This window comes from Homo sapiens, chromosome 11, assembly GCF_000001405.40.
Source record: "Homo sapiens chromosome 11, GRCh38.p14 Primary Assembly".
Taxonomy (NCBI): Eukaryota; Metazoa; Chordata; class Mammalia; order Primates; family Hominidae; genus Homo; species Homo sapiens.
In genome coordinates, this window is record NC_000011.10 from 77033429 (window position 1) to 77049076 (window position 15648).

The 15648-nt window shown below is 50.0% G+C and overlaps 1 protein-coding gene and 2 long non-coding RNA genes across 3 annotated transcripts in view, besides 1 other annotated feature; 2 read left to right on the top strand and 1 right to left on the bottom strand.

Annotated features, from left to right (window-relative positions):
- Positions 1 to 2256, bottom strand: part of ACER3-AS1 (ACER antisense RNA 1) — an 80139-nt gene extending 77883 nt beyond the window's left edge. The window contains exon 1 of the long non-coding RNA XR_007062792.1: positions 2140 to 2256. This is a non-coding gene — a long non-coding RNA (ACER antisense RNA 1). The remainder of the gene's footprint in view (positions 1 to 2139) is intronic.
- B3GNT6 (UDP-GlcNAc:betaGal beta-1,3-N-acetylglucosaminyltransferase 6) lies at positions 970 to 8545 on the top strand. Its single transcript, NM_138706.5, has 2 exons — positions 970 to 1050; positions 6124 to 8545. Exon 2 carries the CDS (start codon positions 6124 to 6126, stop codon positions 7276 to 7278), a length of 1155 nt encoding a protein of 384 aa, NP_619651.3. The 5' UTR covers positions 970 to 1050; the 3' UTR covers positions 7279 to 8545.
- Positions 12726 to 12905: a silencer, noted in NCBI's record as "silent region_3795". NCBI's record gives its function as "represses an Ori minimal core promoter by ATAC-STARR-seq in GM12878 lymphoblastoid cells {active_cell/tissue: GM12878}" and the evidence as "EXISTENCE:reporter gene assay evidence [ECO:0000049][PMID:35858748]".
- Positions 14438 to 15312, top strand: LOC105369399 (uncharacterized). The gene is made up of 2 exons (XR_950340.1): positions 14438 to 14476; positions 15057 to 15312. It is a non-coding gene; the product is annotated as an uncharacterized LOC105369399 (long non-coding RNA).
- Positions 15313 to 15648: the final 336 nt, after the last annotated feature.

The following is a 15648-nucleotide window of genomic DNA, read 5'->3' on the forward strand; positions in this document are numbered from 1 at the left end:
GACACAGTAAGACCCTGTTTCAATATTAATAATAATAATAAATTAAAGTGTCTCTTTGTCATTGGCTTGATAAAATGGGACCCCATGAGCCCCCATTTTATAGTTAATATGGCCCAATGTAAGTAGAAGCAGGCCCTTCAAGGATTAAAACTCATTATAAAAAACCTTAGTTTTAAAAAGGGTGATTATCCCCTACTACTTCTCCATTTAGCAGCCCAATTTTGCCTATGCTCAAATCTGGAAATATATATATATATATTTATGTATATACATTTTAATATAGATTTATATTTTTGAATATATTTATATATTTTAATATATAAATGTAATATAGATTTTATCTCTATTTTAAATATATAAATGTGTATATATGGTACCCTGTGATGGATCACTACAACTTAACATTGTGATCCCATCCATTAGGGCCCCATACCTAATATTAAAATTAAACTGATTTTATTCAATCAACAACAATAAATACTTTACTCTTACAGATGCGGCCAACCTGTTATTTCTGTGCCTATTTCCACAGCCCTTCAGGCAGTTTGCCTCTGCCTCTGAAGGCACACAATACACTTTTCCAGGCAACTTGCAGGGGGCCTCCACATGAGGGCCGTCATCACACACTGTCTTTACAGACAAGATGCACCTTCTCCAGGAGCACAGGTACGATACTGCACCTGGATTCCAGTGATTCTCCTGCCTCAGCCTCCCGAGTAGCTGGGATTACAGGCACCCACCACCATGCTCAGCTAATTTTTATATTTTTAGTAGAGAATCTCCTCCAAGGATATTCACTGGACCCACACTCTAAGGACATTTGAGCTTAAAGAGGAAGCAGGCAGTCACTGGTGGCTAAGGAAGCCTGTAGCTGCCCTCCCCCTCTTCACCTTACCCCTAAGGAGGAGGGGTGATGTCATGGATTGGTCAGATTCAAGAGAACTGAACCACAGGCCTGCGTGGAACCTCAGTGTGTGAAGTAAAGGGATTAAAGGCTAGTCTCAGGCTGGGGATGGCTCCTGTCTATTTCTTCTCTCTCAGAGACTGCAGGTAAGCTGGGGGCCTGGGCTTCTTCCTATTGGGAAGGAGGTACATTTTTCCTTCTTCGCATTCCCCTCTAATCAGAGTGCCAAGCAAGAAACAGGGGGAGGCCAAGGGGAGAGGAATGAGGACAGAATTGCCCCTATTGCACAGGTCCAGTGCAGACCCCAGGGCTCAGGGATTCATGCTGGGGGTTGGGGCCAAGGCCCTAATAGCTAATAAAAGGTTTCTTTGCCTTTTCTGCTATATGAATATTCTGCTATACGAATATTCCTCCAGGAATACCCTGGGATAGTATGGAATGGGTGGGTGGCCCAGGAATCTGTGTTCCAGCTAGCTATCTCAGCATCAAACCAGAGGAGGGAATGACCAAAGTAGTTCCTGGGAAAAGAAGAGGGACAATTCCTGGCCAGGCGAGATGGCTCATGCCTGTAATCCCAGCACTTTGGGAGGCCATGGCGGGTGGCTCACCTGAGGTCAGGAGTTCGAGACCAGCCTCGCAAACATGGTAAAACCTCATCTCTACTAAAAATATAAAAATTACCTGGGCATGGGGGTGGACGCCTGTAATCCCAGCTACTAGAGAGGCTGAGGCAGGAGAATCACTTGAACCCGGGAGCCTGAGGTTGCACTGAGTCGAGAAAAAGAAAAAGAAAGGGGAATTCTAGGCAGAGTGAATAGCATTGCAAAGGCAAGCAATAAATGGATGTGTTAATATGTGTGGGGCAATAAACAGAGTGAGAAATGCCTGCAGTTAGAGGATCACAGAGGAACTTTATAAAGCTTATAAAGAGGAACTTTATACCATACTGTGTGAGAAGGCTAGACTTCATCCATAAAAAGATGGTCTCCTGTGTTAGCCAACTGCTAATGTTATTCTGGTGCCTACTACATGCCAGGCATGGCTCTGAATGCCTTACATGAATTAACTCATATAATTCTGAGACACTGAGATAAAGGAGTTGCCCAAAGTCTCACAAACAAGGAACCTGAGGTTCAAAGGGATGGAGTAAGTGGCAGATTTGTCCTCTTTACCAAACTTGCTACTCAACAGCCATGACATCAACAAGGAGACAGGTTATGTTGACCTGGACTTACCGTGAGGTGAGCTGGAGGAGGTGGTATTTGAGCTGTGTCCTGAGAGACAAGGGATCAGGGCCAGCAGAGGCTGGCAAAGTTTAAGGTGCATGGGCTCCAGGATGCCTGATGAAAAAGAACCATAGAGAGAAATGCCCAATACTTCACAGCAAGTCAAAGCCCTCAGGCTGCACAGTGTGGCATCCAAGAACAGAGGTGAGCGAGCCAGCACCGCCCTTGGGAACAGGGCCTTGCCCAACACCTTTTCCTTTACATCAGAAGTTGGCTGTGATCCAAGATCTTCTATCCGTTTTATCAGAGTAAACGCAAACTTCTTTGAAACAAGATTTATTGTTACATTAAGAAGATTATTTTTCTTTCCAGAAATGATGGGGGATGCTTAACTTTTTTAACTAGTATTTGTGTAGCACGTTAACATAAACAGGATTCTCTCCTTATTTCATTGAAAAATGAATGTTAACTTTCTCAATTTTTCAAATGAGGATATTGAAACCTAGGAGATTAACTCAGGAAAGAAGCTGGGGCTCAAACTCAGTTATTCAGACTCCAAATTCTGTTTTCATTCATTTTTTTATTCTTTCATTCATTGAAAAAAAAATATTGCATTCCCCAAATGTGCCAGGCACAGGACTGCGCACTGAGTAGACAGTTGACGGTAAAAGAGACATAGCTTATCTCGCAAGCCCTCTTCTCACAGTGCCTCTAACACAGAAGCAGGAATAAGTGAAGAGCAATATACTATATAATACTCTAGTATTTCTTATCAGCACTCAGTGATTACATCCACACTTTTGCAGGGTTCTCACACTTGCATTTGTAGTTCACTGCTCCCATTCTTTCACTGAATGCCTGCTTTGTGCTAGACATTGTGTATGGACTGTAATACACAAGCAATAGGGTTCGGTGCAATAACACCTATGTGCAAAATACCTGGAAGTATTTATTGAGCACACACTCTTCGAAAAGCAGTCTTTCAGCAAATATTTATCGGCACCTTGATAATCCTAACAGCTAATATTTACTGAATACTATGTGCCAAGGACCATAGTAAATTCTTTACACACATTATCATTTGGTCTTCACAGTAACTCTTCAGAGGCAGGTATTTGAGAGCTTAAGTCAACGTGCTCAAAATCACAACACTAGAAAGCAGTGGCAGTGGAATTTGAATCCAGGCAGCCAGCATTTCCTACTACTCGGCTGTCCTAACCTCCCACCCTATGCAGGGTGCTGGTAATACAACGGTGAAGACTGGTGTGATCCCTATCCTTAAAATGCTTACAGCCTAGGAGGGAAGATAATCTTTAAACAAATCACATGCTGAGAATGTCTAACAGGGTACCTGGTCTCCTTTGGGCTTCATTCAAGCTTCCCCAAGAATATGCCTTGTCAAGTGGACCCAGAGACTGAGTTCTTAAGTAGACAGAGCAGGGAGAGAGACATCAATCCAGGCAGGGGGACAGCACAAGGAAAAGCTCTGAGGTAGCAAGAGGTCTGGCAGTCTGAGGCTGTCACTGGGCTGAGGGCAAGGCCAGGTGGATCACAGGGAAGCTAAGGAAAAGAGCATGAGAAGCGGCATAAATCTACGTAATTCAAAGGTTTTTCCAGCTGCGGGAGGGGAGAGGTCGGCCGAGAGCAAGATGGTGTGTAGAGACACCAAGCAGGACGCTACTTCATGTGAGGCGGGAATGTTAGTTTGGATCAACCTGTTGATAGAGGGAATGAAAGCAGGTAGGTTGATGAAAAATGCAGAAGAGAGAATCAACGGGGCTTGGGTGGGGAAACGAGGGGAAGGAGGGAGTCAAGCAAGGTTTTGGGCTTGAACAACCCAGGGGATGGCAGCACTCCGGGACAGCTTGGGGGAGGAAGATGAGAGTTCAAGTAGCATCCAAGGTGGCTGTGGACAGCCATATGGAGCTGTTAAGTCAGGCGGCTGGATGGACATGTGGCTCTGGAGCTCGGAGGTCCTAACAGTGAAGGAGACCATCTTGGACAAAGGTGAAATGAGTGTCTAAGTCAGAGCCCTAGAGGCCTTCCACTATTAAAGGTTATTATTAGAGAGGTCAGGTGCGGTGGCTCACACCTGTAATCCCAGCACTTTGGGAAGCCAAGGCGGGAGGATCACTTGAGCCCAAGAGTTTGAGCTCAAGCCTGGACAATATGGCAAGACACTGTCTCTACAAAAAATAGAAAAAATTAGCCAAGCACTGTGGCACATGCCTGTGGTCCCAGCTATTTGGGAGGCTGAGGTGGGAGGATCACCTGAGCCTGGGAAGTGCGGACTGCAGTGAGCCACGATCACACCACTGCATTCCAGCCTAGGTGACAGAGTCTGACCCTGTCTCAAAAAAAAAGAAGAAGGAGAAAGGAAGAAAGAAGAAGAAGAAGAAGAAGAGGAGGGGGGAAGGGGAGGGGGAAGAGGGAGGAGGAGGGGGAGGAGGGGGATATGGGAGGAGGGGGAGGAGAGGGATAGGATGGGAGGGGAATGAGTGGGAGGGGATGAGGGGGAGGGGATGAGGGGGAGGAGGAGGGGGAGGGAGAGAAGGGAGGATAGAGGAGGGAGGAGGGGGAGGAGGAGGGGAGGGGGAGGGGGAAGAGGAGGAGGAGGTTATTAGAGAGGGGGAACTGAGCAAAGGGAACTGAGAAACATGGTCAAAAAGAAAGGAGGAAAGGCAGGAGAGCGTAGAGTCTGTTTTAAGGAGGGAGAAGGAACGGGGCACAGTGGCTCATGCCTGTAATCCCAGCACTTTTCGGGGCTGAGGTGGGAGGATCACTTGAACCCAGGAGTTCAAGACCAGACTGGGCAATATAGTGGGAACCCGTCTCTACAGAAAAAAAAAAAAAAAAAAATTTAATGACCCAGGTGTGGTGGCACGCTCCTGTAGAGCGCCTCAACTACTCCAAAAGCTGAAGTGGGAGGACTGCTTGAGCCTAGGTGGTCAAGACTGCAGTGAGTCATGATGGTGTCACTGCACTCCAGCCTGGGTGACACAGCAAGACCCTGTCTCAAATAAATAAATAGCCAACGGTCTGAGATGCAGAACCTGATGTGACTGAATTTTTAGCAGGGCACAGTTAAATACGGGAAAGGTTGTTCTGACCTGGGATTCGTCCTGGGGGTCTTCATAAAAGCCAGGCCTGAGGTGCACCTGGGCAGGCTACATGCAGGAGAGGGCCTGAAGGTGAATGTTTGGGAACAGCAAATAATACCAGCAGGTAGAATGAGGAGGCAGAGCTAGAGGATGCCGTGGAGATCATCTCACCCATAAGGTCATATCACCCGTGTCACCCAGTCACTGGCCACTTCATACTCATTTCATGCTCACAACAGCCCTGCAGTAGGAATTCACTAACCCTTCGTCACAGATGAGAACACTCAGACCCAGCCATCGGAACTGACTGTTCAGACGGTGCAGATGGGGAAGTGGGGATGGCAGAATTCGGCTCTGGGTCTGAGTTCAGTGCTATCACCTCATGCTTCCTCGACTCGGGAGGCAACGAGGGGAAGTGATTAGAGATGATCCGAGCTGGACAGAGGCGGAGAGGAGGGAATAAATGAGAGGGATGTAGGGCGCAGAATCAACAGGATGCGGAGAGCAGGTAGCAGCTGAGAAGGACAAGGAAGAAGGCTGGGGCTTCTGGCTGGAGTAGTCAGGTGAACGGAGGTGGGAACAGCAGGGTATGGGTTCAGGGGAAGATGGAGACTCAGACGATGAGTCCACTGGGCCTATGTGACGGGTTGTGGGGCGGTGTTGTCAGGAGGCAAAGAGAGACTCAAATCTGAAGGTCAGAGGAACGGTCCGGAGTGTGGGAGACCAGAGACCGTCAGTGTAATCTTGGATTTTGATTCCTTTTTACCACTTAACAGCAGAGTTGAGAAGGGGCTGGAGCTGGGTTCTGGGAGAGAAGTGACGGGGTACGGGTGGTGTCCTGCCGGTGTCAAAGACGACTTCCGGCTCACCTCTGACTCGGTTTCCCCCACAGATGGCTTTTCCCTGCCGCAGGTCCCTGACTGCCAAGACTCTGGCCTGCCTCCTGGTGGGCGTGAGTTTCTTAGCACTGCAGCAGTGGTTCCTCCAGGCGCCAAGGTCCCCGCGGGAGGAGAGGTCCCCGCAGGAGGAGACGCCAGAGGGTCCCACCGACGCTCCCGCGGCTGACGAGCCGCCCTCGGAGCTCGTCCCCGGGCCCCCGTGCGTGGCGAACGCCTCGGCGAACGCCACGGCCGACTTCGAGCAGCTGCCCGCGCGCATCCAGGACTTCCTGCGGTACCGCCACTGCCGCCACTTCCCGCTGCTTTGGGACGCACCGGCCAAGTGCGCCGGCGGCCGAGGCGTGTTCCTGCTCCTGGCGGTGAAGTCGGCGCCTGAGCACTACGAGCGACGCGAGCTCATCCGGCGCACGTGGGGGCAAGAGCGCAGCTACGGCGGGCGGCCAGTGCGCCGCCTCTTTCTATTGGGCACCCCGGGCCCCGAGGACGAGGCGCGCGCGGAGCGGCTGGCGGAGCTGGTGGCGCTGGAGGCGCGCGAGCACGGCGACGTGCTGCAGTGGGCCTTCGCGGACACCTTCCTCAACCTCACGCTCAAGCACCTGCACTTGCTCGACTGGCTGGCTGCACGCTGCCCGCACGCGCGCTTTCTGCTCAGCGGCGACGACGACGTGTTCGTGCACACCGCCAACGTAGTCCGCTTCCTGCAGGCGCAGCCACCCGGCCGCCACCTGTTCTCCGGCCAGCTCATGGAGGGCTCCGTGCCCATCCGCGACAGCTGGAGCAAGTACTTCGTGCCGCCGCAGCTCTTCCCCGGGTCCGCTTACCCGGTGTACTGCAGCGGCGGCGGCTTCCTCCTGTCCGGCCCCACGGCCCGGGCCCTGCGCGCGGCCGCCCGCCACACCCCGCTCTTCCCCATCGACGACGCCTACATGGGCATGTGTCTGGAGCGCGCCGGCCTGGCGCCCAGCGGCCACGAGGGCATCCGACCCTTCGGCGTGCAGCTGCCTGGCGCACAGCAGTCCTCCTTCGACCCCTGCATGTACCGCGAGTTGCTGCTAGTGCACCGCTTCGCGCCCTACGAGATGCTGCTCATGTGGAAGGCGCTGCACAGCCCCGCGCTCAGCTGTGACCGGGGACACCGGGTCTCCTGAGGCCAGTTGGGCGGCTTCAGCCCCGGGCCTCCAACCATGTCCATGCTGAGAAGGCAGCTTTCCCGCTCTGGGTACCTTACGTCCTGCCCAGCTCTGTGCACCTGAACCCCAGCTGCGCACTGAAATCAGCTGGGGTGGGGGGTGTGGAAAATGCCTACATCCTGGCTCCATCTCCCGAAGTTTCGATTTGATTAGTCTGGGGTGGACCCAGACATGTTAAGTATTTTTTAAGTTCCTCCAGTGATGCGAATGTGCAGCTAGGCCTGAGGACCACTCGGCTAGACTATCTCTTCATCCTCGCAAAGCCAGCTCCACCGCCCTCTCTGCAAGAATTCCGGGCCCCTCGCTCCCACACTCGGGTCCTCTTGAGCAGTGGAGCAAGGGAGACCTGGGAGCGTGGGAGCCAGGATCAGCGCCCCCTGCCATGTGCCTACAAATGTCAGTTGTGATTTCCACTGTTTACAAGTGAGTGGAGCTGGAGCTGGGCTGACAGTATCAGGTGGATCCCGCTTCCCCCTCCCCCAAGAAGTCAGCCAACACGCAGCTGAGGCGCATGTGGTGGCCTTCTTCCCACCACTACCCCAGTACACCGTGAGGTAGAAATCTTCACCGTGCAAAGTGGAAACCAGAGGCCCGGTCAGACAGTGACTAATCCAGGGCCGTGGCATTCCCAGACAGCACACCACTGTGGTCCCCTCCACACTCACCCCAACCAAAGCTAATGGCCTAGTTGGGTCCTGCCCGCCAATAATCACCCCCACGGGTCAGAGACAGGCTCCTTGCCGGGGTCTGGGCCTCAGGCTCAGTGGGCCTTGGACAACCCAGCAGGGAGTTCCGGGGAGTCCGAAGTGGAGAAAGGCTGGTGGGAACATGGAGGCCAGTGTTGGGGAGCCTGTGGAGGCAGGTGTGTAGAATTGTGTTCGGGAGGTGGGGGATCTGAGACCGAAGTGGACAGTGGTTAAGATTGTGGGGCCGGGCGAGGTGGCTCACGCCTGTAATCCCAGCACTTTGGGAGGCTGAGGAGGTCGGATCATGAGGTCAAGAGTTCGAGACCAGCCTGGCCAATATGGTGAAACCCCGTCTCTATTGGGAGTACAAAAATTAGCCGGCCATAGTGGCTCGTGCCTGTAATCTCAGCTATTTGGGAGGCTGAGGCAGGAGAATCACTTGAACCTGGGAGGCGGAGGTTGCAGTGAGCCGAGATCGTGCCACTGCACTCCAGCCTGGGCGACAGAGCAAGACTGCATCTCAAAAAAAAAAAAAAAAAGGAGAGTTTGCAAGGGTGGGTGGGAACTTGGTGCCTGGGGCTCTGAGAACCAGGCTGTGGTCCTGACCTCCAGCAGCTGCCAGTCATCTTGGCAACATAGAAAATCAAGGAAACGGCCTAAAGGCAGGCAGAAGTGTGTGTCAGCAAGGTCCCAACTATGTAAGATGGACACGAGGGACTCACCTTCAGGGAGGAAAGAGCCGGGGCAGAACGTCAGGAGACTGGCCAAAGGTCCTTCCCTGCCTTCAGGACGAAGACTAGACTCCTCAGTCCTGCATTTCAGGCTCCTGCCACCCGCCTGCTGCTCACTGATCCCTCCCTCCCACTGTCAGCCTCCATCCAGGTGGCAGTGCCTGCGCTTTGTCAGGCTCTCTCTTGTCTCTGCATTTTGCACAAGCTCTGACCTAGTTACCGAAATGTCCTCCAACCACCTCCATCCTGCATGTCTCTTGCACCAGTTAGGACGCCTGTCGGGGAAGCTGCCAGCTGCCCACCTGAGTCGGCTGTTCCCTTCCTCCTGGGCACTCACCTAGACTCCATTTCCCAGCACTCCGTCCCCTGAAGTTAGATGTGGCCCTGTGACTAGGCCCTCATGGATGGACGGGAGTGGATGAGGATCACTGTGGCACCTGGGCCTGCTTATGCTCTCTTCCTCCTTCCCATTCGCTGGAACATGGATGGGCCTGGGACCCAGCTCTGACTTTGCAAGTGAGGACAATGCTTCAGGCCCAAGTGGAAGTTTCTCAACTACTGACATTTGGGGCAGGACGGTTCTTTGTTGTGGGGGGCAGTCCCGTGCATTGTAAAACATTCAGCAGCATCCATGTCCTCCACTCACTAGATACCAGTATCACAGCCCAAGTCATGACACCCAAAGTATCTCCAGACGTTGCCAAACATACCCTGGTGGGAAAATTCACCCTAGCAGAGAACCGCTGGCCTAGAGGAAGGCAGAGAAACGAGGATTCCTGAGTTCCTGCACGGAGCAGAGCAGCCCGGGGACCAACCTGGAATACTCAGTTCAGACTACTGAGGAAGACAAAATAAACTTTTATGCTTTTAAAAAAAATTATGGACAGAACAATATAGACAAAAACTTTTATGATTTTTCAGCTTCTGGGGTTTGTCTACTGTTACAGCAGCCTTGCCCTGCTAGTGTTTTAGTCTGTTCAGGCTGCTGTAACAAAAATACCATAAACTGGGTGTCTTACAAACATTTCTGAAAGTTCTGGAGGCTGGGAAGTCTAAGGTCAAGGTCCCAGCAGGTTTGGTGTCTGGCGAGGGCCCATTCCTCACTGCCTTCTTGCTGTGTCACTGCATGGTGGGAGGGGCAAGCAAGCTCCCACGGCCTCTTTTACAGCGGCCCAGATTCCATTGGTGAGGGTTCTGCCATCATCACATCATCACCACGTCACCTTCAGGGCTAGGATTTCAACGTAAGAATTCCGGGGGGCCGGGTGTGGTGACTCACGCCTGTAATCCCAGCACTTTGGGAGGCTGAGGCGGGCAGATCACGAGGTCAGGAGATAGAGACCATCCTGGCTAACACAGTGAAACCCCGTCTCTACTAAAAATACAAAAAAATTAACCGGGCATGGTGGCAGGCACCTGTAGTCCCAGCTACTCGGGAGGCTGAGGCAGGAGAATGGCGTGAACCTGGGAGGCGGAGCTTCCAGTGAGCCAAGATCACGCCACTGCACTCCAGCCTGGGCGACAGAGCAAGACTCTGTCTCAAAAAAAAAAAAAAAAAAAAGAATTCCGGGGAAACATAAACATTCCAACCATAGCACTTAAGTCACCTGCTGTGTCCCCTTTCATCCCTTGTTTTTCACCAAGTAGACTGGCTGCTCCCAGAGGGAGAGGCCATGTCTGATTTACATCAGGGCTGTCACAGATTTACACAGAGGGAATCCGTGGCAAGTCCCATCACTCCCACTCCTGGAACTTGAGTAGGTCATCTCACCTCTCTGAGCCGCTCTTTCTGATAAGATTTGGCTCTGTTTCCCCACCCAAATCTCATCTTGAATTGTAATTCCCACATGTCAGGGGAGGGACACGTAGGACTGGACAGGCGGGAGGTGATTGGATCACGGGGTCGGATTCCCTCACGTTCTTGTCGTGATAGTGAGTTCTCGCGAGAGGTGATGGTTTTAAAGCGCGGCACTTCCTCATTCTCGCACACACGCCCTCCTGCTGCCCATGAAGAAGGTGTCTGCTTTCCCTTCGCCTTCCGCCATGATTGTAAGTTTCCTGAGGCCTCCTAGCCATGCTTCCTGTTAAATCTGCAGAACTGTGAGTCAATTAAACCTCTTTCTTTTATAATTACACAGTCTCAGGTAGTATTCTTTATAGGAGTGTGAAAATGGACTAATACACTTTCCACAGTGATGTTCCATGCCAGGGCCATGTAAATCCTCTGTAAACCACATAGGAGGGTACTGTCATTCTGCAGGCTTACTGGCAGCTCTGAGAGGTTGAAGGAAGCAGGAGGAGGTGGCACTTCTGTGACCTTTCTGCAGCCCTTGCCGTGGGCCTTCAGTAGCCACAGCCACTTGTCACTTGCTGATCTATTTTCTGAGCAGGCCATAACAAATACTCCTACATGCTTTTGGGGTGAATGGATGAGTGGATGAGTGCCATCTGTCCCAGTGATGTGGACTGTATCTGTTAGGACAGCAGTCCCCAACCTTTTTGGCACCAAGGACTGGTTTTGTGGAAGACAATATTTCCACAGACCAACGTGGGGGATGGTTTGGGGAAGATTCAAGTGCATTACATTTATTGTGCACTTTATTTCTATTATTATTACATGGTAATATATAATGAAATAATTATACAACTCACCATAATGTAAAATCAGTGGAAACCCTGAGCTTGTTTTCCTGCAACTAGACAGTCCCATCGGGGGTGATAGGAGACAGTGATAGATTATCAGGCAGTAGATTCTCATAAGGAGCAGGCGACCTAGATCCCTCACATGCGCAGTTCACAATAGGGTTCATGCTACTATGAGAATCTAATGCTGTCGTTGATCTGACAGGAGGCGGAGCTGAGGTGGTAATGCACGCGATAGGGAGCAACTATAAATTACAAATGAAGCTTTGCTCACCTGCCGCTGTGCAGCCCGGTTCCTAACAGGCCACAACCAATACCGGTCATTGGCCCAGGGATTGGGGACCCCTGTGTTAGGATACTGTACTAGTTCCCTATTGCTGCTGTAACAAATTCCCACAAGCTTGGCTTAAAAGCACACTCATCTGTTACCCTACAGCTCTACCCACCAACTGCACTCCTTACTGGAGGTGCTAGGGAAGGATCCATTTCTTTGCCTTTTCCAGCTTGCAGAGACCTCCTTCCTCCATCTCCAAAACCGACCATGTGGCGGCTCTTGGTGCGTTGCTTCCACAGCCACATCACTCTCTGACTTTCCTGCCTTCTCCTTCCACTTCCAAGGACCCTGTAACTACACTGGGCCTACCTAGATAACCTGGGATTCTTTTCCTATCTTAAAGTCAGCTGATGAGCAACCTTCATTCTACCTCCAACCTTACTTCTCTTTGCCATGTAACATGGTGACATGCCACATGTAACATTCTTATGTAACATGCATCAGTCACAGGTTCCAGGTATTCAGTAGGGTATGGGCAACTTTTTGGGCGGCCGTTATTATGCCCACCACAGTGCCCAGTCAATATTTGTGGAATAAATCAACAGTAATGAAATAATGCACAAAAATGAATCAAACAAGGGTGCTTCTTCCACACAGACCTCCATGATGCGAGCTCTCATTCTGGACTACTGAGTGACATTAATTCTGAATTCCCTGCCCCTAGCTGCCATTTGTCAAGGGCTTGCAAGAAACAGGAAAACAAGAATGCTGAGGCCAGAATGCGGACAGGTCCTCTGGAAGGTCCGAATTGTGCTTTGACACAAAATCACACAAAAAATGCTTTTACAGCCTCCTCCCATTTCCCTGACAGACAGGCGGATTATCCCCATTCTATTCCTAGAGATGAAGATTCAGGACCTTGCCGGCCCCGAGACTCAAGAAGCCGCCGTTATGGGTCGGCTGGGTGACTCTGGGTCCTGGCCACCCGGTCTCTGAAGCTGGGTTGCACGCGTGTCCAGGTCCACGGAAGGCTGCAGTACCCGCGCAGCCCCGGCATCACCTGGCGTCACCCGGCGCCACCTGGCGCATCGCTCCCCACGGCACTGGCCCGGCGCTCCCCGCTCCGCTCGTTCGGCTCATGCGGCCCGCGGCCGCCAGGGGGCACGCCCCGCACCCCGCACCCCGCATCCCGCACACACGCGCACTCAGCGAAGCAACCCCGGAGCGCGATCCCCCAACGCCCCTTGTGAGACCAGCATGACTTTGACACTCAAACCCCTCAAGGATCCCATGAGCAGGGAAGATGATGCGCCTGTCTCAGGAACCTAGATGGAAACAAAAATCTTACACAAAATGCTAGCAGGCGAAATGCGATGACATGTGAAAAGGAGATCTATCAGGACGGAGGTGTGTTTATACTAGAAATTCCAGAGGGGCTTAGCATTAGAAAAACAGCCAAACTACATAAATAAGACAGGAAGATCCGTCAATGAGGTACATTATATCAAGAGAAATATGAGCATTTCAGAGGCAATGTGAAAGACGTTTATTAAAATTCAACATCCATTAGTGATTTTAAAGAAAATCTTAGTAAGAGGTGAAAGCATTTGACAGCATTTTGCTTAAAGTTAGGAGCAAATGAGATATACCCATCATCACTACTTCTGTTCAGAATTGTCCAGAACTTGAGAGAACACCAAGACAAAAAAAGATACAGAAATATAATAATTGGAACTAGAGGAAGAACTTTTTCAAAATCTCAGAAGTTTAGAACCCTATCAGATCCAACTTCCCTTTCTGTAACAAATGAATGCCACTCTCTCCATCCTGAAATGAAATACTTAGATAATATAACACTTCCACACACATATTTTCAAAAAGCCAATACAATGCTTTTATTGTAAATTATGTAAATATGAGGTAAATAAAAGAAAAATACTTTAAAATAAAATGTTATTTTGATGTGTGAATTCTTGGGCCCAACAACAAAAAATAAAACTCCCCTGCAAATTTCCAAATCTCTCCCTAGAGGGCAGTACACCTCTTCAAGAACTATTAGTCTACATAGAAAAACCACCAAAAAAAACCACACACGCGCACAAACCCTCCAGATATTTCATTAGATTACTAAGAAAAGGTAGCAACTTCTCCAGATAAAAAATCAATATACAAAAATCTAGGCCGAGGTGGGTGGATCTCTTGAGCCCAGGAGTTTGCAACCAGCCTGGGCAACATGGGGAAACCCCATCCCTACAAAGAATACGAAGATTAGCAGGGAGTGGTGGTGTCACCTGTAATCCCAGCTACTCGGGAGGCAGAGGTGGGAGGACCGCTTGAGTCCGGGAGGTCGAGGCTGCCGTGAGCCCTGATCGTGCCACTGCACTCCAGCCTTGGTGACCCTGTCTCAAAAAGAAAAAGACCAAAAGAATCTATTTAATTCCTATATAGTAGCAACAAGCTATGAGGAAAAGTCTTTTTTTTTTTTTTTTTTTAGAGTGAAAGCAAGTTTACTAGAGAAGTAAATAAACAAAAGAATGGCTACTACATAGGCAGGGCAGCAATGCAGGCTACTTGACTGAGTATACCTATATGCTAAACAAGGGGTGGATTATTCATGAGGTTTCGGTAAAGGGGGGACAATTTCCGGAAATAAAGGTCCCTCCTCTTAAAACCATATAGGGTAACTTCCGGTCGTTGCCATGGCATTTGTAAACTGTCATGGCGCTGGTGAGAGTATTTTTTACCATGCTAATGCATTATAATTAGCATGTAATGAGCAGTGAGGACCACCAGAGGTCACTATCATTGCCATCTTGGTTTTGGTAGGTTTCAGCTAGCTTCTTTTTTTTTTTTTTTTTTTTTTTTTTTGCTTTTTTTTTTTCATTATGCTTTTAAGTTCTAGGATACATGGGCACAACGTGCAGGTTTGTTGCATAGGTATACATGTGCCATGTTGGTTTGCTGCACCCATCAACTCGTCATTTACGTTAGGTATTTCTCCTAATGCTATCCCTCCCCAAAATCCCCACCCTCCGACAGGCCCCTGTGTGTTATGTTCCCCACCCTGTGTCCATGTGTTCTCGTTATTCAACTCCCACCTATGAGTGAGAACATGCGGTGTTTGGTTTTCTGTCCTTGTGATAGTTTGCTTAGAATGATGGTTTCCAGCTTCATCCGTGTCCCTGCAAAGGACATGAACTCATCCTTTTTTATGGCTGCATAGTATTCCATGGTGCATATATGCCAGGAAAAGTCATTTTTTAAAGTGTCAATAGAAACAAAATTATACTCAGGGCTAAATCTAAAAGAAGATATGCAAGAAAATAATTAAAAATTATGTTAAGATATATGTATCTTACATTTCTTATATGTATAAATATTATGTATCTTTATGTCTTATAGCTATGTCTCCCAGGCCGGAGTGCTGGAGTGCAGTGGTGCGATAGATCACAACTCACTGATCACTAATGGCTCACTAACCGTGTATTGGTCAAGCTGGTTTCGAACTCCTGGGCTCAAGCAATCCTCCTACCTCAGCCTCCCAACGTCCTGGGATGACAGGCATGAGCCACCACGCCTGGCTGTATTAAGATTTTTTTTTAAATACACAAAGTAATGTAGAGAGACATCATGTTATAAAGTACCTCTAAGCCCCTGATTTCCTTGTGTCCTCACCGCAACCAGAAAACAGGATTATCATCCCTACTTGAAAGATGTGGAGGCTGAGGCCTGGGTAGAGAAGAGACCTGCCCAAGATCAATGGAGCCTGCTGGGCATCGAGGACTAAGGGCCTGGGCCTCCTGCCTGCTGTTCCTGGGCCCTAATCACCACCCCAGCCACCATGCCTTGGGCCCACTACTCCCAGAGTCCACAGGCTAGAGCTGCACAAGGCCAGAGGCCGGGTCTCCAAGCTTCAGAGAAAGGAGGCAGACAGTAATCTGGCCGTCTAGTCACTGGGGCACCTGGGAGTGTTCTATCTCACACAATATACCCG

Bases quoted from the DNA above. Each gene is read 5' to 3' on its own strand.
- B3GNT6 (NM_138706.5), top strand. From the start codon at position 6,124: ATGGCTTTTCCCTGCCGCAGGTCCCTGACTGCCAAGACTCTGGCCTGC.